Source organism: Homo sapiens, chromosome 17, assembly GCF_000001405.40.
Source record: "Homo sapiens chromosome 17, GRCh38.p14 Primary Assembly".
NCBI lineage: Eukaryota > Metazoa > Chordata > Mammalia > Primates > Hominidae > Homo > Homo sapiens.
In genome coordinates, this window is record NC_000017.11 from 46,073,348 (window position 1) to 46,099,171 (window position 25,824).

Below are 25,824 nucleotides of genomic sequence, written 5' to 3' on the forward strand. Positions count from 1 at the left end.
CACACAAATAATGTGTTACTTGTTAATTGCCATAGAAGCAATGTTTTTCGCTAAACAAAACCCTCCTTAACGTCAAATCTAGTATTTTAAAAAATATTTATCCAAGAAGGAGATTTTAAAAAATATATACATGTGTCTGCTCATCGGTGCAAAAAAATACAGGAAAGATAAGCCAAAACGTACTGAAATTGCTAACCTACAGGACGTTGAGTGAGAAAAGGATATAAAGAAGAATGTATAGCTTTTTTAGAACCACAGTAATGTTTCCCATACAAAAATAAAAATTAACAATGCGGGGTGGGGAAAACAGGGAAGGCTAGAATTGAATACTGTAGTAACAAATGAACCTAACTGTATTACAAAACAACATAACCATACTGAAAGATTTGGTGGAAGGAAATAACTAACCTACGTAACTTCAGAAAACTGTATTTTGACTGCATAACAGTTAACATACTGTACAAAAATATTGTACTCTAGTTAGCAAATGTGTTTTTCACAGGGGTACTAGATGACAACTGTGAGACTATACGGGTACTAGGATTAAACGAGTATCAATAAGGAAGGGGGAAGGCTGCTGTGTTGAACTGGTATGAACTTACGGTTTTTTATATATATATACAGGTTAAGTAGATACAGAAATATAGATGTGTGTGTATGCACCTGTGAGCATAGATACATATGTTTCCTTGCTTTGCCTTTTGAGACATCCTAGAAGCAGTGACACTTACGAAGTAACAATGAGCACAACTAGTACTCAGATTTTAGTTCCTAATAAAAGGAACCTGAGCTGAAGTAGGCAAAATACAAGAGGAACCTGGAACATCTAGTATTAGAAAGTATTTCAAAATATAAGCGGTACATGCTAAAAGGACACAGGAGCCAATCTGAAAGAGCGCCCAATACCCAAAGTTGAGATAACTGGAGCAACTGTATAAACAGTAATAGGTTATAATCCATTAAATAAAATAAATATCCATGGGACCATCCTGATATTCACAACTGAGTCAATGAATGAGTAAATAAATGAGGGGGGAAGACACCTCTTCCTAACAGAATTCCATTTAATGCAGGTAGGAAGTAGAACAACCACCCTTTAGTAAACAACACAGCAATAATTGCTGTAGGAAAAAGTCATCAGTGAACAATAAAATTATGAGTAAAAATATAATGAGCAACAGAATATTTACATAGTGTCTCCCTATAAGACAGTCATTTATTCCAGCCAGGGCAAAATGGCAAAACCTTGTCACTACAAAAAACATAAAAATGTGCCAGGCATGGTGGCACATGCCTGTGATCCCAGCTACTTGGGAGGCTGAGAGATGGGAGGATAGCTGAGCCAGGGAGGTGAAGGCTGGAGTGGTGATTGCGACACTGCACTCCAGCCTGGGTGACAAAGTGAGACCCTATCTCTAAATAAATAAATAAATAAATAAATAAATAAATAAATAAATAAATATTGTCAGTTATTACAAAGGGAAAAATGCTAATTTTACAGAGGAGAAAGCTGTCAGGCACCACCTTAACCAAGGGAACAAACCTATCATCACTATTAGAAAGACAAGTCAAAATCATGAACCCCCTGTGGTGTAGAGAAGGGTACAGTATCTTCTGTGGCATTCCTGTAAAACAATGCGTAACCTCTAATAATGAGAAAACACCAATTTGTGGAACGCTATACAAAATAACTGACCAGAAATCTTGTATCCAAGTAATGAAATACAAAAACTGAGAACTCTCACATATTGAAGGACATTTAGAGATGCAAAAACTAAAAGCAATGATAGATTCTGGACAACAGAAAGGACATTAATAAGAAAACTAATAATACAGAAATTCAAATAAAGTATGTCTATTACTTTGTATAAGTTCAATGTTAATTTCAATGTTAATTTCGTGGTTCTGATAATTAACGATTATTGTGACAAGATGTGTTAAGATTAGAGAAAGCTCCGTACGGAGACTCTGTACTACTATTTCAACACACACACACTCTCTCTTTCTTTCTGACACAATCTCGCTGTTGACCAGGCTGGAATGCAGTGGCACAATCTTGGCTCATTGCAACCTCTGCCTCCTGGGTTCAAGTGATTCTTGTGCCTCAGCCTCCCGAGTAGCTGGGATTACAGGCGCACACCACCACACCTGGCTAATTTTTGTATTTTTAGTAGAGACGGGGTTTCACCATGTTGGCCAGGCTGGTCTCAAATTTCTGTCCTCAGGTGATCTGCCCACCTCTGCCTCCCAAAGTGCTGGGATTTTAGGTCACCGTGCCCAGCCTAAAATCATATTTTAAAAGAATGAAGAAAAAATGTATCTAGCATTAATAAAACAAACTTCATTCATACATAAATCTGTACAGTCTACAGGTTCCTATCAGTTACAGTACTCACTTAAGATAAATATAGAATCCATTCTGAATTGGCCAAAATATCCAACACTCCATCACAGAAAAGTATTTGCAGTTACCTGATAATGCCAGGCTCTTTCAAGCCTATGCTGCATTACACATTACTCCCTACACCATGCTTCAGCAAGTCCATAAGACTCAGAAAAAAGTCCATCCTTCCCTAGGAAACTACCTTTACTGACTCCCTCCAGCACTCCCATTTTATGCTTGTTGGAAGAACAAGAAGCACTCAAGAAAAGATAGATACCTGGTTCTACTTAGTCTTTCAGACACAAAGTGCAGTCTGGAACAATGACAATTAGCTTTTACTAACTTTCATTATCTATCAAACATTGTTAAAAGCAAATTATAAATTTTAAATTAACTTTGTAAGAAGGCTAGAAATCAGGTAGTAGGAGGAGAGTGTGACTCCTCCAATTTGGTTCTTGTTTTTAAAAATTGTTTTGGCTACTGGCCAGGTGCAGTGGCTCACGCCTGTAATCCCAGCACTTTGGGAGGCCGAGGCAGGCGGATCACTTGAGGTCAGGAGTTCAAGACTAGCCTGGCCAACATGGTGAAACCCCCGTCTCCACTAAAAATACAAAAACTAGCTGGGTGTGGTGGCACACGCCTGTAATCCCAGCTACTCGGGAGGCTGAGGCAGAAGAATCACTTGAACCCAGGAGGTGGAGGTTGCAGTGAGCCCAGATCACACCACAGAACTCCAGCCCGAGTGACAGGGAGAGACTTCATCTCAAAAAAAAAAAAAAAAAAAATTGTTTTGGCTCTTGAAAATACTTAACATTTCCATACATACTTGAAAATCAATGTTCAATTGTTACCAAAAACAACACAACATAAACCAAAAAATCTTGCTGGGATTTTTCACTGGGTTTGCATTGAATCATTGTGTCTAACATTGACTCTTCTAACACATAAATACAGCATACATCTCCGTTCACTTATGTAATCTTTTTCAGAAGTTTTATGGTTTCAGCAATAAAGTCATTAACGTCTTTTGTTAGATTTATTCCTAAGTATTTTATGTTTCTTGATACTACCGCAAATGGAACTGTTTCTCCGGGTTATTTTTCAGTTGTTTGCTCTAATAAATAAAAATAGAATTGACTTTTATATATTGACCCCGTACCTGGAGACCTTGGCTAAATCTCTAATTCTCACAGGTTTAGGGAATTCCATGGGGTTTCTAAGTATCATATCTTCAAATACAAGCAGTTTTGCCCTACCTTTTCCAATTTCCATGCCTTTAATTGCTTTTTTCTTGCAATATTGCATTAGCCAAGACAGAGTACAATGTTTTTGTTTGTTTGAGGCAGGGTCTCACCCCGTCGCCCAGGCTCAAGTACAGTAGCATGATCTCAGCTCAGTGCAACCTCCACCACCTGGGCTCAAGCAATTCTCCCACCTCAGCTTCCAGAGTAGTGAGGACTACAGGTGCACGCCCCCACACCAGGCTCATTTTTGTATTTTTTTGTAGAGATGGGGTTTCGTCAGGTTGCTGGAGCTGGTCTTGAACTCTGAGGCTCAAGCGACCCGCCCACCTTGGCCTCCCAGAGTGCTGGGATTACAGGCATGAGCCACTGTGCCCAGCTTACAATATTTTTAGGATATATTTTTTTCCTAATTGTAGACCAACAAAACAAGCACTTTCACCAAGTAGTGTGATGTTAGGCGTTAGGTTTTTTTCCTAATTTTTAAACAGCATCACAGCTCAGGAATAAGGTCTTCACCTTTGATTTTCACGATTTTTACTACAATGTTGTGATTCTCATGGTTATTATTCTTGAAGTTTCATGATTTTTTTATTTTATTTTTGAGACGGAGTCTCACTCTGTTGCCCAGGCTGCAGTGCAGTGCCATGATCTCGGCTCACTGCAACCTCTGTCTCCTGAGTTCAAGCGATTCTCCTGCTTCAGCCTCCCGAGTAGCTGGGATTACAGGTGTCTGCCACCACGCTTGGATAATTTTTGTATTTTTAGTAGAGATAGGGTTTCACCATGTTGGCCAGACTGGTCTCAAACTTCTGACCTCAGGTGATCCACCCACCTCGGCCTCCCAAAGTACTGGGATTACAGGCATGAGCCACCGTGCTCGGCCTAAAGTTTCATACATTTGTAAACTGACTGTTTAAATTCAAAAATCCAGTCATTAAGTTCCTCAATTTTTTTCCATCTTTTTTTTTCTTTTTCCTCATGACTAAGAATCATATTCTCATGTTTATTCATATGTATGGTAATTTTCTATTATATACAGACAATGTATGCAATACATTATAGAGACTCTGAATTTAGTTAGCTTTTCCTAAAGAGTGTTGATTTTTGTTCTAGCAGGCATACTACTACTACCTGGTTACCTTCATTTTGTGGAGCTAGTTTTGTTTTTATAAAAGCATAGTGGAGTCTATTTTGGTTCCCTCCTTAATCCTATGGTGAATGCCTTCGTCCTGGGAAACATTCTTTAACTCTTTAAGTGTGAGCCTTTATTGGTTTCAATCAAAGCCCTCAGGTTTTTGCCAAGTCTAGTTGGAATTCGAACTCCAAATTCTGCCTTCCCTGCATTAGGCAATGATGATCTTCTCTGCTCAGCTCTTTCAGCCTTCCAATTACTGCTTTCCACTATGCCCTATAAAATCTTCCCTAAACATGTGCAGGTCAGGGGTGAGCACAAAGATCTGAAAGGGGCTCAAATAGATTGTGGGCCTATGCCCCTCCCCATCTCCCATAGCTCCCTCTTTGCCACTATTCCCCTCCTTCAATTTCTACCTACTTGGCAGCCCTGAACTCCATCCTCTGATAATATACAAACAAGCCCATGAAGCAGTGACTATTGAATTCTAGAAGCTCTGGGGCACATGGACTGAGAATGCTCTCATCTCTTCCTGGCAATACTTTCTGTCTGAAATTTTGCTGACATTGTTGAGTAATTTACCTAGTAATATGCACAGGTTCCAAGCTTGCCCTTCTTTGCTCATTACTTTTTCTTAAGCAGGGGAAAGCAAGCTTCTATTTGAAGAGAGAGAATGAGAAGGTGGGGAAGATAAGAGGCATGTTTCAATACACTAGAGAACAACTCTCAACCGCTTTTTACATGCTCTCTTTCCAAGGGCACACCCTCTTTGTTCAAAAGGAGTCTTAAATTTCACAGAAGCATTTATCTGTACACACGACTTATCGGCAGCTACCAAGCTAGAGGCCCGTTAAGTTTTCTCTCCCTCAGCTAGCCTTACACCTTTAAAACTGCCTTTGAGTCAGAAGTCAGAATGAAGAGGTTAAAATAAAAAAAGAGGCATTTTTCTAGGCATTCCTCCTTAGGTCTTCCCTTTCTCTAACCCACTACTCTGTGGTATAAAAACAGTACCCACTTCCCTAACCCAGAAAATATTCCTTGATTTGCTCCATGACTCAAAAAAGGTTCACCCATGAATTCAGTCTCCAGTTCTTTTGCTCATAGGTTGGGTCCTTTTAGAACAACTTAGTTCAATAATATCTGTACTGTATTCAAGACCCAAGCAGATATATACTGGTTCTGTCAATAAACAATCATCCTGTTTGGAAATAAAGCAAAAAGACTATGTATCCTTGCAGTGTACCACTGGGACATTACCTAACAAGCCCACCCAGGAAACATCTGACTCTCCATAAATTATTTAACTTTGTTTTACCTACTATCTATAATTGATTAGGGCCCAGAAGTCTTACTGGATGTTTATTTTAGAACGCTGACAAGTTAAAGTTGGTTTGCATCTTGTTGAAAACAATGTCCAAAGTTACAGCTTTATTGTTCTATAGGATATTAATAACTTTTGTATGCTACTGAGTAATCATATTCCTGCATTCTTCCTTTTTATCTGGTATTAAAATACTGTTAACAGTTTGGCCACCATCATGATTCCCTTGTTATTCAGTAAATCACTATATATTTAGGAATTATGTCTAGGCTGGTGCAGTGGTTCACACCTGTAATCCCAGCAGTTTTGGAGGCCAAGGCCAGCGGATTGCTTGTGCTGAGGAGTTTGAGACCAGCCTGGGCAACTTGGTAAAACCCCATCTCTACAAACAATACAAAAATTAGCCAGACATGGTGGCACATGCCTGTAGTCCCAGCTACTTGGGAAGCTGAGGTGGGAGGATCACTTGAACCTGAGAGGTAGAGGCTGCAGTGAGCCAAGGTCGCACCACTGCACTCCAGCCTGGGTGACAGAATAAGACCCTGTCTAAAAAGATGGAAAGAAAGAGAGAAAAAGAAGAGAGAGGGGAGAGAGAGACAGAGAGAGAGAGAAAGAAAAAGAAAAGAATTATATCTAATGTTTTGAAACTATATTTTGACAATTCTAAAGACGCTGATTTTTTTGTTAATTCCAGCTGAGTTTCAGAAATGAGAATAAAAAAATTAAACATAACAGAAAATACCTCTGACATTATTATTTTTAAACTACAAGTCTTCAAATATATTTTTGGGTAATAAACAAGCACAGTCCAGGAGTTTGAGGCTGAAGTGAGCTATGATTGTGCGATTACACTCCAGCCTGGGTGACAGAGCAAGAGCCTGTCTTAAAAAAAAAAAAAAAAAAAAAAAAGGAATAAATACACCTACCTCCATTTGGGGAAAAAATTAACAAAATGGAAAACAGGCTGGTTACATGTGGGTATGAAAACCTACAGTTGCCCTCTGTCCCGGGCAACCTAATTTTTTTTTTTAAGCAAAACTGAGAAAAGTCACTTTCCTAAAATTTAAAACAAAACAAAACAAAAAAACCTGGGGAACAAACAAGCAAAGTTAAATACTGCCTTCTTATACAGAAAAACTTTGCCTGGCAATTGACATACGCACAGCTTTGCAAATATTTGGCATTTTAAAAATTTAAGTCAATAGCTTTTAAGAAACATATGCTCTGCGCCCATTCTACTAATAATAAACAATGGAAATGTATTGTCCCTGCTCCCCCCACCCCACCCCCCAACCCCTGTCTTCTCTTAATACTTTCTGAACGCTTTTCAGAAAGCATGGATATATTCATAAAGGGTAGATAATTCACGAAAACAGGGAAGGGGTAATCTCTCCTTGACAAAATAGTGACAGTGTATACTTAGTTGTTTTCATTATTTATTTTACTCAATCCAAAAAGCATTCTATTGCACAATGTTGAAACTAGTATGGCCAACACAAAGGGAAAGATGGTCTTGACCTTCAAGAATCTTACAATTTAATACACACACAGGAATCTTACAATTTAACACACAAGTAAATGAATGAAGGGTAGGGAAAGGACCAAGCTCCTAAAGAGTGTGTGTGTACAAGTGAATCTGTATAAACTGTCTCACAATCACTGTGGATTTTTTAAGACAATGAGGATTAGTAACACAATGGAGGACTGTTATGCCCTGTCCTTCAGAAGTGCTGAGGTAAGAGAAAACATGACTACAGGGAGATTACTCAAAAAAGTTTGGAATCCCTAAATTCTATATACAAATATATAAGTATCTACATAGAACTTACTCCCCTATCACATATGCCTCATGTTTCATGTTTCCTGTACCCATACCACCAATGTATCTATGTTTCCTTTCTCACTTAACAATTTTTACCCTGATTAGACCATTCACTAAAAGTTTCATTAATAACTTAAAAAAGATCTGTAAACAGCATGCAATGAACTTATATTATAGACTTAAATAGTGGCAAAACTTGGCATTCTGCTCTTTAATTTATTCAAAACTACTTTCCAGTTAAGAACTATCAATCTTCTAGTGTCTTCACATTTATCTCTAGCAACAGTGGCTGGCTTTCAAAATTAGGTGAGAGATCTTTCCAAGATCTAAACATCTCCAATATCTGCCTCAGAGAAAATTTAGTTTCCACCACATCATGCGTTCCTGCTAACAATGATTAAAATAAATAAAAGAACTATAAGGTTGGTTTATTTGCGGATACAAGAACAGCTTGCTTAACTCACCATTTAAAAAGCCATCACTTCACACTAGCTTTATTATCTGAAGCATAATCAAAATAATAAACTACGGTTGTGGGACTTTGGAATTTCTAATTAAGTTATGGAGACTTAAATCAAGAAATATGAATATTCATAAAACCCAGTAACCTTTTAGGCAAAGTAAAAAAGTGAAAAGAACAAGTGCTCTTGGAATTCAGAAAGAAAATTAACTATGGTATTGAGAGAAACCAGGAAAGAGAAGGAATCACAGTAGAGCTAGGATACAGAAGGAAACAGAAAATGACAGTTTAATGCTCATTATAGAATAACAGTGAATCACCCACAGAGACCATTTTCAGTGTTCTTGTGAATTTAACCTCTAGTCTAACCTTTTAATGAAAAGGCTATAATATATTAGAGTGGCCCAGAAAGGTGACCTTATGTCTCAGGTGTCAGAGCCACACCCAGGTCTCCTGATTCCCAATGATACTCCCTAAAGCCTTACTTGCTCTGGCTGTAGTGTTTTGAGAATTGGAGCTGCTTTTAATCCTATGGTCAGCTACACAGCTGCAGGATGGGCCCTAGATTCCCTATTCAGGAATTCAGATCTTAAAACACCAAAAGTGATAAAAGTAGATACAGTTCCCCTTCTTCAGCCAATGCAAGGATCCTAGTTACAGAGAAAAAACGGTGTGCCAAGACAACACCCTTAATTCTCACGCATTTCCCCCTTTCTATCTTTTATACTTACCAATTTATCAGTCCCATGATCTGTCTTCACCTCAGAACTAAGTGGAAGAAATAAGTCTGTTGTATGCTCTGGGGGAGGTACCTCCCCAAGAACTATCAACCCCTGCAGGATAGAGAGGAGAAAAATAGCATAAGTGAGCAGTATAAACTTCAAATTTAATTTAGGAGTTAAGTCTCAAAAGGACTGTTGGTGTACTAGAGGCCCCCTCTTCCTCACCCTATGGTTCAGAAACAAACTACAGCAGCAGCAGCTTTGTTTTCCCAAAGAGCTATTTCAACAAGCAGCAGACCCAGGCTCCCCTCTCTGCCACTTGACTGCTCTGACCTACATGGCTCATCAGCCATTTAGCATCTTTATTCATATCTTTCAGATATGAAATCTTTACCAGATTATGGCATTTATACCATATTACTAGACTCCACTAGATTAACAGCAGCAATGCAGTTTTTGTAGCCAACAAATGCAGTTTATGACTTACTAAGCTGAAAATGCTACTATTCTTAATCATGTACTCCACCAACTATACCTGCACAAACAAAACTGAATGAAACAAATGTGGAACAGTCCCCTACAATTTATGAGAAACCAAGAGCTTCTTAAAAGCTGGCCCAAAGGAACCTGCTTTTTTCATAAGCATAAATATTACTTCAGATTAAGTTCCTGCTTGACAATTTCAAATTCAGACCTTTGGAAATTCATTCCAGGAAACAATTTACATAAAAAGAAATTAAAAATGAACCCACAAGTCCTCCCCATTGTACATATAATGAGCCAGGATGGGTAAAGGCAGAAGGTATCTTATTATTAAAAAAACAAAATACTACATATGAATCCCACCATGTATACCAGAAGAGGTGACAAAAATAAGGCTATGACACTATATAACCGAAAGACTGGGATGCAAGTGATCAGGGTTCCCAATCTCTTTCTCTGGTCTAAAAAATAGAGATCTAACTAGATTAAGAAGCTCTTAATGGAAATTTATTATCAGAATCACCTGGGGAACCTTATCAAACTATACTGGCTTAGGTCCAACATCTACTCAGTACCTCTGGGGGTGGGGCCAGGTAGTCTACCTTTTTATGGGGGAAGGGAGGCAGGACATGGTGGGTACATGGAGGTGGGTGTCTCTCTCCTCCCCCACCCCGCCAACCCCACTATGTTACCGAGGCTGATCTCAAACTCCTGGGCTCCAGCAATCCTCCCACCTCAGCCTCTGGAGTAGCTGGGATGACAGGTGCCTACCACCATGCCCAGAGGTGGATATTCTACTATTCTTTAAAAGCTCCCCTGGTAAGTCCTAAACTTGTAAAGTTGAAAAACACTAGACTTGATTAGTTTGGGCTCAAAGAACATCCTAAAGTATAGATTTGGGGGACTAGGGATTGTGACTATTAGTCTTAGCTCTCTAGGCCATACGACAGACTCTTATGAGCCACTAAACCAGATGATCCATCCCTGGGGTCCTTGTAACTAAAAAACCAATATGAAATACAAGCTGCAGAAAAGGGGAAAACATTAAGAAAGAAAAATGGAATTTTATTTCAGTTTTTAAAAAAGAAGTATGTATCTCTTTTTCTCTTGAAGCAAAAGAAGCACTGCCTCCCTATTCTGGAATATGACTACACTTAGCCCGTATCAAAAATGAATTGGAGGGTCCCGGAATGGCGGCTCACACCTGTAATCCCAGCACTTTGGGAAGCTGAGGCGGGTGGATCACCTGAGGTCGTCAGGAGTTCAAGATCAGCCTGGCCAACATGGTGAAACCCCATCTTTACTAAAAATACAAAAATTGCCCAGGCGTCGTGGCACATGCCCATAGTCCCAGCTACTCGGAAGGCTGAAGAAGGAGAATCGCTTGAACTCAGGAGGCAGAGGTTGCAATGAGCCAAGATCACACCATTGCACACCAGCCTGGGCGACAGACCAAGGCTCTATCTCCAACAACAACAACAACAACAACAAAAATGAATTGGAGGCTGGGTGTGGTAGATCACACCTGTAATCCTAGCACTTGGGGAGGTTGAGGTTAGGAGTGCGAGACCAGCCTGGCCGACACAGTGAAACAACGTCTCCAGTAAAAATACAAAAAATAGCTGGGCGTGGTGGTGAGCCCCTGTAATCCCAGCTACTTGGGAGGCTGAGGCAGGAGAATCGCTTGAACCTGGGAGGTGTAGGTTGCAGTGAGCCAAGACTGTGCCATTGCACTCCAGTCTGGGCAACGAGAGCGAAACTCCACCTCAAAATTTTAAAAATTAAAAAAAAAAAAAAAAAAAAAAAAAAAGAATTGGAGTCTCCTCAGAAACAAGAGAAAGGCCATTAACTAGTAAGCAAGAAACATTAACCCTAGCCTTTAAAATGAGGTTTCTCTGGTTAAAGAACTTCTGCTTCAAAATATTTTCTTCCCTAAATCAAAAGCATAAGATATACCTTACAAACTTTATCACATCCAAATAAAAACTATTTGCAAAAGACAGTTATCTTGTACACCACTGCCTTCTCAAAACGTTGTATTCAACAGATATTCCCTACTTAAGGGCCCAAACTGTCTTCCTGCTTCCTGTACAAAGCATGCCAAAAATCATTTTATTATTCAAATTTTCCCATAACCGGTTCCTAAGAACTTTTTTAAAGATCAATTTCCAACTACTTTCCCCAAATATTTGTTAGTGTTATACCAATCTCATCATCTCCTAGACAAATGTTTCAATGAATGTGAAGCTGTTGCTGCTGCTGGAGGTAAGGGTTATTAGTCAGTAGAAGGTTAAAAAAAACTGAATTAAAGGTTAACACATGAGCTGTTCATCTTTATTTATACTCATTTTTATATTTTATCAGTCCAAATTGCCGTTCGTCCTTCCAAAGAGATTTTCAACAAGTCCCACCTCCTTCCAAGAAAATGTCCCGGGTTAATGAGTTCCTACTTGCTTTATCCACACTGCCAGACCTCCTAAAGCACGGTGATTGTATCTTACTTTCTGTGTATTTAAATCTCATTTCCAGAGCATTCATAATCTTATGCCACATTATTTATTTCACTTATTATTGCCTCAGTTTCTTGTTTGTTGAGACAGGGTCAAGCTCTGTCACCTGTGCTGGAGTGCAGTGGTGTGGTCACGAATCACTGTAACCTCCCCCTCCCGGGCTCAAGTGATCCTCCCACCTCAACCCCATAAATAGCTGGGATAACAGGTGCATGCCACCACATCCAGCTAATTTTTGTATTTTTTTGGTAGAGATGGGGTTTCACCAAGTTGCTCAGGCTGGTCTCGAACTCTTGGACTCAAGTAATGCACTTGCCTCAAACTCCCAAAGTGCTGGGATAACAGGTGCAAGCCACCACACCCAGCTAATTGTTCTATTTTTTGGTAGAGATGGACTTTCACCATGTTGCCAAGGCTCGTCTCAAACTCCTAGACTCAAGCAATCCACCTGCCTCGGCCTCTCAAAGTGCTGGGATTACATGTGCAAGCCGCTGCACCCAGCCTTTAATTGTTAACTAATGTTAGTTTATTGAAGATGTGGACAAAATACAAATATATTTAAATGACCCATGTCCCTTAGCAGAGTCATACACCAAGAAAATAAATGCATAGCAAATATTTGTTGAGTTGTATAATTTTTTTCCTAACAGGAAAATATTAACTTTATAATAATTATAGCCAGAAGATAAATAAATCTAACAATTAGATATAAAATTACTCCTTCAATTTTTCTTTTTCAGTTATATGAAAGTAAGGACGCAGTCAGTATTTTCCAAAGGGAAGAATTTTTCCTTAAACTACAGAATAATTTCTAAATACAACCCTCAGATAGATTATGAAGACATCTCCTAAGAGAGTATAATAAAACTTGGTAGGGACCATCTATTCATCGACATAATTTTATAGACCCACAGAGGATGTAGGTCAAAGCTTATGTCTCTACAGGCCAATACATGGCAGAACTGGGGCAAAAGTCTGCATCTAACTAATATTTCATTCCTCTTTTGTTCAGTTAATTAAATCATTTATCCGCTCATCAGCATTTGTTAGGTACTAAGGATACAAGAAAAAATGAGAGACCTATCCCTCTCCCCTAACCCATCCTTCAAAGTGCTTATTACGTTCTAATACTGCGGCAAAGAAAAACAATGTAAATAGGTAAATGTTATGTACTACATTAGAAGGTATTAAATGCTAGAGAGAACAAAATATAGGATAGTGAGGGGATTAAGAAGTGGAAATGGTGGGGTTGGTCGTGACGGCTCATGCCTGTAATTCCAGCACTTTGGGAAGCCAATGGAGGAGGACTGCTTGAGGCCAGGAGTTCAGGACCAGCCTGGGCGACGTGGCAAAACCCTGTCTCCACAAAAACAATAATAATAAAAATTAGCCTGGTGTAATATCACACCTGTAGTTCCAGATATTCAGGAGGATCACTTAAGCCCAGGAGAGAGAGAGAGATACAAGTGGGAGGGGGTACTACAGGCGCATACCACCACGCCTGGCTAGTTTTTTGTATTTTTAGTAGAGAAGGGGTTTCACCATGTTGCCAAGGCTGGTTGCAAACTCTTGGGGCCAAGAGATCTACCCGCCCTGGCCTCCCAAAGTGCCGGGTTGCAGGCATGAGCCACTGTGCCCCTGCTTGAATGTTTATTTGAAGACAGAATCAACCAGCTATGCCAATGTGCTTACAAGATAGGAGGGAAAAGAGTCAGAGACACTGCCAAGGTTTCTAGCTTCCACAACCAGAAGAATGGAACTCTTCTTCATTTGTTCAGAGGACATTTGAATACACATTAGTTTTAATTAAACCTATTTTTGAAAATATGTGCTCAAGTGTTACACTGAAGCAACCAACAATCATCCATACACTGTCCATTGCCCCCAAGATATGTAAGTTCACTATGGCATTCAAAACCAAACACTGGATCCTCTAATTTAATACTGTACCTCACACCAAAAAGGATGAAAACAGCTAAAAAGAGGCTGAGCAAATAAAAAGCATCCAAGTAGGTAAGAGTCATTCATGCAGGTAGCATCTATTGAGTGGCTACCACGTGCAAGGTAGTGTGAAAACACAGTAATAAAATAAAAACAGATTCTACCATAAGGAGCTTATGTTCATCTAGCCTTGAACAGACAAAGAGACAAAGTATTATGACAGTACTATAACAGAAGTTGAGAGAAGGTGATGTCAGAGCAGAAAAGAGCCTAACTGAAGAGACTGATGAAAGTGAGGCTTTACAGAGGAGGTCTACATAATTACTTAACATTCCCCAAAATATATTTAATATATTTTGAGCTATACTTATTCATTAACTATACACTTAATGACTTTGCCCTTTTCTGTATACAATGTTTCATATGCCACAATAACACTTATTTCGGATAAAGTTTACTCATGTTTAATAACCATGAAAAGAAAGGTTAGCATTAGCTGAGAAAACTTCATAATGTTCTACTCCACACCTGTCATGCTACCCCAACATGGGCTTCCCTAACATTCCAGGTTTAAACTGGGTCAGTGTTGAATAGCTGTGCCATTAGCCTGGTGGCAATAAACTTAGGGCTGCTGTACTATGAAATAGCAACCGGTAGAAGCCGAAGAAAAAGGTCAAGAGTCTCCTTTTCCTTCGCCATGTCCCGAGTCAGAGCCAGGATCATGCTTAGGCTGCACAGGCCTAGAAAACTCCAAGAGTGAAGCAAGCTTCTGCTTTACACAAGGACCAAAGGAACTGGAATGGGTCACAGTTACATGCAGCCTTAATACCTCCTAAGTGACTCCTCTGTGGATGAACCCTCTCTCAACTGTATTTGCAATACAGCTAACAGGCAATTTCACATACTTCCTTACATCACTCTATCAGGTCAATCTTCCCTATGCATCTCAAGACAAACCAGTGACCCCACTGCAGACCAGTTCCACAAGAATCACCCTGGGCTACCTGGAAAAGATAAGTTGTCTAAAGTGCTTTAAAAAACCCTATTAAGATGAGAACTTCAACAGCTTTATGAAAATTTTGAAGAGAAAGGTGTTATAAGCTTCTGCAGTTCCCATTCAACTCCTTCCCTATTCAAAAGTTTCAATGCTCTTCCACCTCCCATCCTCAATAACATTTCCATCCTCAGCTACAGCTGTGTAATCTCAAAGAGTAGTCAGAAGAGGAGATTTTAAAAAACAACGTAAGAGTCAAGCCAGTGCTTCTGGGAGGCCAAGGCAAGGAGGATCACTTGAGGTCAAGAGTTTGAGACCAGCCTGGACAACACAGCGAGACCCCATCCTTTAAAATAAAAAAAACCCTTTAACAATTAGCTAAGCATGGTGGGACTTGCCTATGGTCCCAGCTACTTGTACTTGCAAGGCTAAGGTAGGAGGATAGCTTGAGCCCAGGAGTTTCAGGTTACAAAGAACTATGATCTGGCCATTGCACCTCAGCCTGGGCAACAGAGCAAGACCCTGCCTCTTAAAAACTGCTTAGTCCCTATTCTTTCCCCTCATTTACCAGGTGTGAAATTTCAACAAACATGTTTCAGTGAAATGATGAAAAGGACACAACAGCAAAGTATGTTAGAAAAAAAATGCTTTGGAATCAGATAAAAAGTCCTGAGTTTAAATTTAGCTCTGCCTTTTACAAGCCTCTGAAGATTTATTCTGATCATTAAACGAACATACATGAGTAAACCTTTAATTAGTATACACTCAAGGTACGTATATTGTTTTCGTTTCTCCTTCTAAAGCATGGAAGAGTTTCTTTTTAAAAAACAAGCTGACAAACTATGAAAATTAAAAGAGTACAACAGCATGCAGAAGTAGTACAGAGGAGTTCCTAGAAGTTATATTCTTTCTCCAGAGAGCAATATTATTCCCAAAAGGGACTCTACTCACTTCACAGCTTGGAAGGTAATACCTACCTTCTGACAGAACAGAAACTGGTGTCTGGATCCTAGAATCACCTAGCAGTAGTCACAAATACTTTTTTTTTTTTTGGTAATACGCCACTTAAATAAAATTAATGTTAATAAGCAACAAAGTAAATCCTTAAAAAGAAAAGCCCCACCATCCCTCCAATCTCCCACCCGAAGACAAATTATAACTCAACAGCCTATCACCAAGATTCAGCCTATCACCTAGGTTCATCTCAAAAAAAAAAAAAAGACCTGTGCAACCCAGGAAGTGCTGGGAAATCTTGGTGCAGCATGGAAAATATGAACACCAACCCACTTAACCAAAACACATAGGAAAAACTTTCTTCCATTTCAGTAACTAAAAAAAAAACCCAAGCACTTAAAGTGATTACTAACTTGAGCAATAGCTCTGCACTCACTTGGATGTGTAACCATGAACAAACTACTTGACTGCTCTGATCTTCCATTGTTTATCTTGAAAATCGTGAATGAGAGTAAAATGCTTAGCACAGTGCCTGACATATCACAAGTGCTCAAAAACTTCTATTAATTATAGTGTTACATAAAGACTAAATGCATGTGAATATATCATTGGGGGAAAATTCCATGGCTTGTTAGAGCAAGTTGAATATTGTCTCTTCCAAATTTATGTTCACCCAGAACCTGTGAATATGACCTTGTTTAGAAAAAGGGTCTTTGCAGATGTAATCAAGTTATGAAGAGCCATTTAGTGTGGGCTCTAAATTCAATATGACTGGTGTCCTCCTGACATGGAAATCTACACAGATGCAAAGAGAAAGATGGTCATATGAAGATGGAGGCAGCAACTGCAGTGATGTAGCTACAGGCCAAGAACACCAAGGACTAGCACAATATCAGAAGCTGGAAAAAGACAAGGAAGGATTCTTCCCTAGAGCCTCCATAGAGACCATGGCCCTTTTGACACCATAATTTCAGACTTCTGGCCTCCAGAACGGTGAGAGAACACATTTCTGATTTTTTAAGCCATCCCATTTGTGATAGTTTGTTATGACAGTCTAGGAAACTAATCCATTTGTTGAAAAAGAAATGTATAAATACGACACGTAAAGCTGTGAATTTTCTTGATGCATTACTTATTGGAACTATCAACCTAGTTTTATTCTTCCTATCGGAACTCTGAGAAGTAAAAGATTATCTATGATGTTGTATTTTACAGACCAAGAATCTGAAGCTCAGAAATGTTAAGTGACTTTTCTTCTCAAGGTTCATGTAAGCAGCTGGTAGCAAAGCCACGATTAGAAACAAAAATTTACCAAGTCCAAGTATGGTGCTTAATACAATACGCTTTGAATGATGAAACTCTTGGATAAGCAACATACATTCATGTGCCAAATAGCATTATGGTCAATGACAGACCACATATACAATGATGGTCTTATAAGATTTTAATACAGCTGAAGAATACCTGTTTTAGCACAAAGCACTACTCCTGTGTTTGTGGTGATGCTGGTGTAAAGAAACCTACAGTGCTGCTATTAGAAGTATACCACATACAATTATGTACACTAAGAATATAATAGCTGATAATAAAAGCTATGTTACTGTTACACTTATTTCTTATGATAATAAAAAGTGTTATGTATTTACTATACTATACTTTTAATCGTTATTTTAGAGAGTACTTCTACTCATTAAAAGAAGTGAACTGTGAAACAGCCTCCAGCAGGTCCTTCTGTTGGCACTGTCACAGGCAATGAAAGCTCCGTGTGTGTTGTTGGCCCTGAAAACCTAACAGTGTAACAAGATGTGAAGGTGGAAGACAGTAATACCGACAAACCTGACCCCATGTGGGCCTACGTTCATGTGTGTGTTTGTGTCTTAGTTTTTAGCAAAACAGTTTAAAAAATAAAACTTTCATTTTAAAATGGAAAGTTTTAAAGATAGAAAAAAGCTTGTAGAATAAGGTGTGAAGAAAATATTTTTGTACAATTACAATGTATTTGTGTTTTAGGCTAAGTGTTATTACAAAAGAGTCAAAAAGTTTTAAAAACTTAAAAGTTTATAAAGCAAAAAGTTATAGTAAGCTAAGGTTAATTTATTATTGAAAAAAATATTTAAAATAAATGTAGTGTAGCCTCGGTGTACAGTATTTATAAAGTTTATAGTAGTGTACAGTCATGTCCCAGGCTTTTCAATTTCAGTTACCCTTCACCCACCGACTCACCCAGAGCAACTTCCAGTCCTGCAAGCTCCATTCATGGTAAGTGCCCTATACAGGTGTACCATTTTTATCTTTTCTACTACATTTTTACTGTATTTTTTCTATGTTTAGGTATGTTTAAATACATAAATCTTTACCACTAATTGCCTACAGTATTCAGTATAGTAGCATGATGTACTGGTTTATACCCTAGGAGCAATAGGCTATATACCATATTGTCTAAGTGAATAGCAGGCCATACCACCTCAGCTTGTATGTATTAAGTATGTATATATGTAAGTATGTATGTATGTATGTATATGAGACAGAGACTCGCTCTGCTTTGCCCAGGCTGGAGTGCAGTGTCGCGATCTCAGCTCACTGCACCCTGTCTCCCAGGTTCAAGTGATTCTCCTGTCTCAGCCTCCCGAGTAGCTGGGATTACAGGCACCCGCCACCACACCTGGCTAATTTTTTTGTATTTTTCATAGAGACAGGGGTTTCACCATGTTGGCCAGGCTAGTCTCGAACTCCTCACCTCAGGTGACCCACCCACCTTGGACTCCCATGCCTCGGCCTCCCAAAGTGCTGAGATTACAGGCGTGAGCCACTGCGCACGGCCCTCAGCTTGAATTTAAGTGCACTTTATGATGTTCACGCACCAATGAAATCACCTAACAACACATTTCTCAGTTTCCCTTTTGTTAAGCAATGTGTGATGGTATATACAAAACTCCAGATTATTTTCCAGATATTTAGAAATACTTTTCAGATATTTTGATATTTTGAAAGTTTCTGAAAATTGCTCTGTCATTACTTCTGAGTGATGAGCTGAAGAATAAAGCATGAACCAAATGAGGTGAGTATCTTCTTATACACAGCTAGTGAGACTATAAACTGACACTGCCAAAATACTTCTCTGAAGAATGCATTAAGAACATAAAAGAGCATTCATACCTTTGACTGAGATAAAGATATTTATCATGGCATATTTAATTTAAATAACAAATGTAACTTAAATAGTCAACAAAGAAAGCCAATAGCATGCAGCCATTAAAAATGTTTTCCAAAAACCAACTGGGAAATATTCAGGGCACATACGTAACATGACTGTATTTGAACAAATTACTTATGTGCTAGGAAAATGTACCATAATGTTGGTAGCGAGATAATTTTGAGCTGTTGGGTTGTTTTTTTTTTTTTGGGGGGGGGGGGGGAGGGTGGGTGTCTTTTATACTTCTATGTCATTTCAGTTTCCTGAGAATTGATACACAGTATTTCATCAATTCTAAGAGGTACTCTCCCCACATGTCAACAACTTTTAAATCAAGATGCATTTTACAATTTCTGTTATGCCCTGGTTTAACTGAAATAATTTCTTTGTCGTACTTAAAACAATGGTACATCTTACAATCAATAGCATCTTAAGTTCTATGAAATGTAGCAGTTTTATAACAAGGAACTAAGATGATATAACATATACACATATATAAACCCACATATATATTTATGAATGTATATAAAAAGATGAAGCAGCACTTATGACTACTATTATACTAATCTCAGTTGTTACTAAGAGACTCTAGTTCTCAAATATAGAAAATCCCACTTAACTACTGGCTATAAAAACCTAGAAACAGACACTGAAGAGGTGTCTCTGATAGAGAAAGACTGTGTTTTTCTCCTCAGTACAGGCATATCCAGTCACCTCCTAGTTATTCTTAGTCATCATTCCAGTTCAAGTTCTACAAATCTCACTTTAAAATTTCCTTTGTGAAGACTTGGGAAAGCAAAATATGCACCAAATCTAGAATGTTTATTAGTTTTGTTCCAGCTAATTTTTAAATAAGTAAATCAGGATTTAATTTGTATGCTACCCTAAGGGAACAAACTAGTAAGAATAAAAAAGTGAGCCCTCTGGACTGTGTCCTCAATTAAAGTATGCTCTATTGAACTTTTAGGGGGAGGGGGAATATATATATATATATGTATCTCCAATCTGGAAAGAAGCTATAAGTCCGCAGTGACATTTTTAGAATAAAAGTTTAAATGATTAGATAGCCCACAGAACTTTCACTTCAAACCCTGATCATTCTGTTCATTTTATCAGTTGATCAACCTTCAACTTTTGGCCTACTAATTTAATGGATACTGTTCACAGGAAAGCCATTTTCTTAAGGCTTTGACTAGTACTAAGGTCAAAAAGGCATTTTGACCCTTATTTTTAGTAGCAATAGACTTTTTCTAGACATGGGTCTACATAAAGATAGAGCTCAGCCACACCAAGCTAATATAAAAAATACTTTGCAAGAATGTAAGCTTCATGAAGGTAGGATTTTTGAGAACACTGCTGAGACACAGTAAGCACTTAAAATAATGGTACATCTTACCATCAGTAGCATCTTAAGTTCTATGAAATGTGGCAGTTTTATAACAGGGAACTAACAAATATAAATCTAACAAATATGACAGTTAACATCAATGGCTTGCTTGCATTATTCAGTCTGTTTTCCTTGTTTCCTGTTAGCTCAGATACCCACACAGTTTTGTTCTAAATACACGTTCAGTTAAACATTATATTCTAATAGTGTTTTCCTTTTTATGAGACAGGCCTTTCTTAGTTGTCCAGGCTGGAGTGTGGTGGCACAATCTTGGCTCACTGCAACCTCCACTTCGTGGGCTCAAGCGATACTCCCACTTCAGCCTCCTAAGTAGCTGGGACTACAGGCACATGCTATCATGCTCAACTAATTTTTGTAATTTTTGTAAAGACAAGGTCTCACTATGTTGCCCAGGCTGGTCTCGAACTCCTGAGCTCAAATGATCCTCCTGCCTTGGCCTCCCAAAGTGCTGGGATCACAAGAGTGAGCCACCACGCGCAGCCACATCAGGTTCTTAAATTAAACCACTATATCAGGTCATTAAACCATTTACTTTGCAATAGTTAAGAAGAGGGTTATGGGGGTTACGAGGTGGGAGGGGATGTGAGAAAAGCGATATTGATAGTTTTCGGCAGCATTTAAAAACATCAGATACTTATCCCTTACCTTATTAGCACGTATCTGTTTGTAAATGTCTGTTTGCTGACGAATTCGATATTCCAAGTCAGAAACATGAGCCTGAAGCCAGTTCCAGCGGCTGACAATAGCTGCCCGGTCTGCAGCCCATTTCCATTCTGACCTGCGTCTCCTAAAAGGAAATAAACTGAGTGAAATCCAAGAGTAGCAGTAATATCTATACCAGATTGGGGGGTGGGGAGTGGAATTTAACTTTTAAAGGCCCTTGCAGAGACTAACTCTAGTGTCAAGAAAAACCCAAGAGAGAGACAAGACACCTCCCGCTCATCAGGATGCACATGGATATAAACTTCCAAATAGGTATTTCCCAAATTAAGTGGAACTGCGTTCTAGCATCCTGATCCTGTGGCACACAGTTTCTCTGAAATCCCTTTAATTTCTCTGGGACAATAAAATTATTGTCCATGCCAAAATAAAACATACATTAAGAATAATCTATACAGGAAATCCAACTGACACTAAGAATTATTAAAACTAATAAAGAATTCAGCAAAAGTGTTCAGTAAAGAATATTTAAAAACTAATAAAGTAGAAAATATCATTAAGTACCATTCATAACACCAACAAAACTAATGATATATTAAATATCTTTACAGAGAAAATAACGCCTGAAAGCATGAAGATCTATACAAATGGTAGGACACATTTTTTTAGGATGGCGATTCTCATGAACATCTATAAATTCAAAGAAATTCCAATCAAATTGCCTACAGTATTTTTAATGAAAGCTGAGAAACAGATCTAAAAGTTCACATGGAATAAAGGACCAACAGCAAGAAATTTGCAAGAAGGCATGATGCAAATACACATTACCAGACAGCCAGATTTGCTGCAAAACTATAGAGAGCCTCAAAACGTAGAACTAGATACATAAAAGATAACGGGAAATTTTTAAAAAATCAGATCAGTGCAGAAACGATCAAACTACTCAATAAATAGTACTAAACTGGCCAGTTCTTTAAAGGAAAAAGTAAAATTAGTTCCCTTCTTCATGATATAATTACAAAATTTTGGCATTTCAAATTGCTAAATATGAACAGCCAAACTTAAAAGAATATCTTCGGGACTTAGAGCAGGGAGCATTTCTTAGATAATACACAAAGATTTCACCTACTTTTCAACATACAATAGAAAATCTAATAAAGTTAAAAGGCCAACTACATTTTGGTGGAAGATATCTAACACATATAACTGACGATTAAACATCAGAATATGTAACAGAACTCTCAGAAATAGGATAAAAGAAAAAAAGACAATCTTAACAGAAATAGGAAATTCACATAAAAGGCAAATAATAAATATATAAAAATGTGTCATCTCGTTAAAATTTGGTTAAAATATAAATATTAGGTAAAACATTAAGATGCTGTTTGAAATCTGGATGGGAAAACGCACAGTCTCATAAAGCCAACAGGTGGTGAGAAATGGAAAAGAGCAATTAATATATTGCTGGTAACAGTTAAAATTGGAACCACCATTTTTGAAAAATAATTTGAAAATACTTAGCGAGGTGTAAAATGTGCATACCCAACCATCATGATACTGTATTTTTTTTTTTTTTTTCCTGAGAGGCAGGGTCTCACACTCTATCATTGAGGCTGGATTGTGGTGGTGCAATCACAGCTCACTGTAACCTAGAGTTCCTTTGCTTAAGCTATCCTCCCACCTCAGTCTCCCAAGCAGCTAGGATCAGGAGCATACTACATACCTGGCTTTTTTTTCTTTTTTTTTTTTTTTTTTTTTGAGATGGAGTTTCTTTCACTCTGGTTGCCCAGGCTGGAGTGCAATGGCGCAATCTTGGCTCACCACCAACCTTCGCCTCCCAGGTTCAAGCGATTCTCCTGCCTCAGCCTCCCGAGCAGCTGGGATTACAGGCATGCGCCACCATGCCCGGCTAATTTTGTATTTTTAGTAGACACGGGGTTTCTCCATGTTGGTCAGGCTGGTCTCAAACTCCCAACCTCAGGGGATCCGCCCACCTCGACCTCCCAAAGTGCTGGGATTACAGGCACGAGCCACTGCACCCAGCCCTGACTAACTTTTTTTTGAGACGGAGTCTTGCTCTGTCGCCCGGGCTGGAGTCCAGTGGCATGATCTCGGCTCACTGCAAGCTCCGCCTCCCGGGTTTACGCCATTCTCCTGCCTCAGCCTCCGGAGTAACTGGGACTACAGGCGCCCACCACCACGCCTGGCTAATTTTTGTATTTTTAGTAGAGACGGGGTTTCACTGTGTTAGCCAGGATGGTCTCGATCTCCTGACCTCATGATCCACCCACCTCAGCCTCCCAAAGTGCTGGGATTACAGGCGTGAGCCACTGAGCCTAGCCCCACTGGCTAATTTTTAATAAAAAATGTTGTGGAGATGGGGTCTTGCTATGGTGTCCAGGTTGTTCTCTAACTCCTGACCTTTAGCCTCCCAAAGACACGAGCCACTATGCCCAGCCATGAAATTCTGTTTCTGAGAACATAAACTACACATTCCTCTGCATAAGGAAACAGGTTCACTGGAGGAGAGTCTGTAATAGATAAAAACTAATTATATTCTAATTCTGCTGAACTTGGTAAATAAACTATAATTTATTCATTTAATAGTTCTATAGTAATAAAAATAAACGACATCTGTATGTATCAACATGATTAAATCTAAGAACACAATGTTGAATGAAACAACTACAAAAAAACTAAACAAGATTAAGTACACACAAGTAGTGAAGGAATTTGATGAAATACTATCTAGCAATTTATTTACTGTATGTATCAACATGACCTAATCTCAACAATGGGGAATGCAAAAGCTGCACAAAAATAAACAAATAAACATTAATAAGGATTGTTACCAATACAGATAACTGATGAATATATTTTAAAATGCCTAAAACTGACATACAACAAATTTACAATCAAGCTCCTCATTATCTCTGGAAAGGGGATGGAGAAGTTGGATTTTAGCTCTACCTATAATGTTTGACTTCTCATGTAAAAAAACAAAGATGGAAATGTGACAACATTAACATTGTTTAAATATTACACTGGGGATACATGGTGTCTACTATATTCTGTAATCTAAATATTTCATAATCTACCACAAAACTATTTTCCCAGAAAGCAGCAGCAGTCACACAGCCCTCAGCCCCACTTCCCATCAGGATACACACACTCACTGCTAAAACTTATGACTATAGGTGAACTTGAACACAGTCTCCCATAGGGGCAAAATACAAAATGTCAAAAATAAAAAAGAACAAATCTGACCACGACAGAGTAAGACATGAATTAATACTTAATCATACCATAATAATTAAGACCAAGGGTAGTAATGGTATTTTAACTTTTGTATGGACCAAACATAAACCATTCAAACCAACCACTGTGATAATTATCAATTATGTCTCTTCTTTTAGAAAGAAAACATTTTACAGTTCCCTAATTTTGATGGAACCACTTCAAGATAAAAAGATACTTTTAAAGTACAGTTATCTGCTTCAATGTTGGCTGCAGGTCTAGCTCTACCCTAAATCCAGGAAATGATCTCAAGAGATCAATAAGAAACTAGGGATCATTCTTGAACAACAAAAATGCCCCCTACCCACAAAGAGACAAAACTAGTTAACCCTCGTATTTTATTCCCACCTTTCCTTACTTTTCAAGGCTTACCACCTTTCTATCCTGCAAAATCTTTTGGATTTATAGATTCCTTTCATTCCTAAAACTACCACCACACCAGGTCCCCATCTATCACCACTGGGCAACCCCAACAGCCTCCTTAGCTGCTCTTCCCAACACCAGTCAATCATACTACTTTTCCTCAATCAACTCCCCTCACACCTTTTTCATCCTGGCATTCTAATGTTTAAGGAACCATGCAGCTCCTTTGAAAATACAAAAGGAAAAGAAAATTACTTAAAACATTTTAGTTCGCAAGAACTTTGATAAATACACTTTTTCTTGGATATTAATGAAGGTCTTATGTCCCCTACACAGGTATTTACCTAAATAACAATACAAAGCGAGCCTCCTGATAATATGTTTTGGATAATATGGTTAATAAACTAATTAAAGAAAGGCAAGACAGCACTAAGGAATACTAACAATTCCCAATTTATGAACAAGTTTCATTTTACAAGTGTATCTGTGATGTGATGGTTTAGAACTCGAAGTGATTTCCAGGAGAAAGTTGTTACAACATTATTCTTCCATAATGCTGCTCAAACTCTCATCATCTCCAATGAAAAATGGAAAACCACAACTCAAGCGTCCAAGAAGTATCTTGTGTTCAAAATACCAGCAATATGAGCAGAAAGCTAAACTGTTATTAAGCATGAGAGGTGTACAGTTAACAAGTCTGGATAAGATATGAAGATGTTACCATACTCCAGTGGCAGAGCAGAGCACCACTAAACAGTAACACAAGAATAAGAGCTTCACATCTTTTGTTCCTTAACAAATACAAGCGGCCGGGCGCGGTGGCTCACGCTTGTAATCCCAGCACTTTGGGAGGCCGAGGCAGGCGGATCACGAGGTCAGGAGATCGAGACCATCCTGGCTAACACGGTGAAACCCCGTCTCTACTAAAAATACAAAA

The 25,824-nt window shown here is 38.6% G+C and overlaps 1 protein-coding gene across 30 annotated transcripts in view; it reads right to left on the bottom strand.

Moving 5' to 3' along the window:
- The window catches only part of KANSL1 (KAT8 regulatory NSL complex subunit 1), a 195,452-nt gene that overhangs the window by 43,432 nt on the left and 126,196 nt on the right, over window positions 1-25,824 (bottom strand). For 25 of the 30 annotated variants that reach the window (NM_001405885.1, NM_001405884.1, NM_001405883.1 and 22 more), the window contains 2 exons: window positions 21,213-21,354; window positions 9,094-9,195 (listed from right to left, as the gene is read on the bottom strand). In NM_001405885.1, coding sequence (NP_001392814.1) covers window positions 9,094-9,195; window positions 21,213-21,354 — 244 coding nt within the window. The remainder of the gene's footprint in view (window positions 1-9,093; window positions 9,196-21,212; window positions 21,355-25,824) is intronic. The other 5 variants (XM_047435800.1, NM_001405881.1, NM_001405861.1 and 2 more) reach the window with 1 other exon arrangement.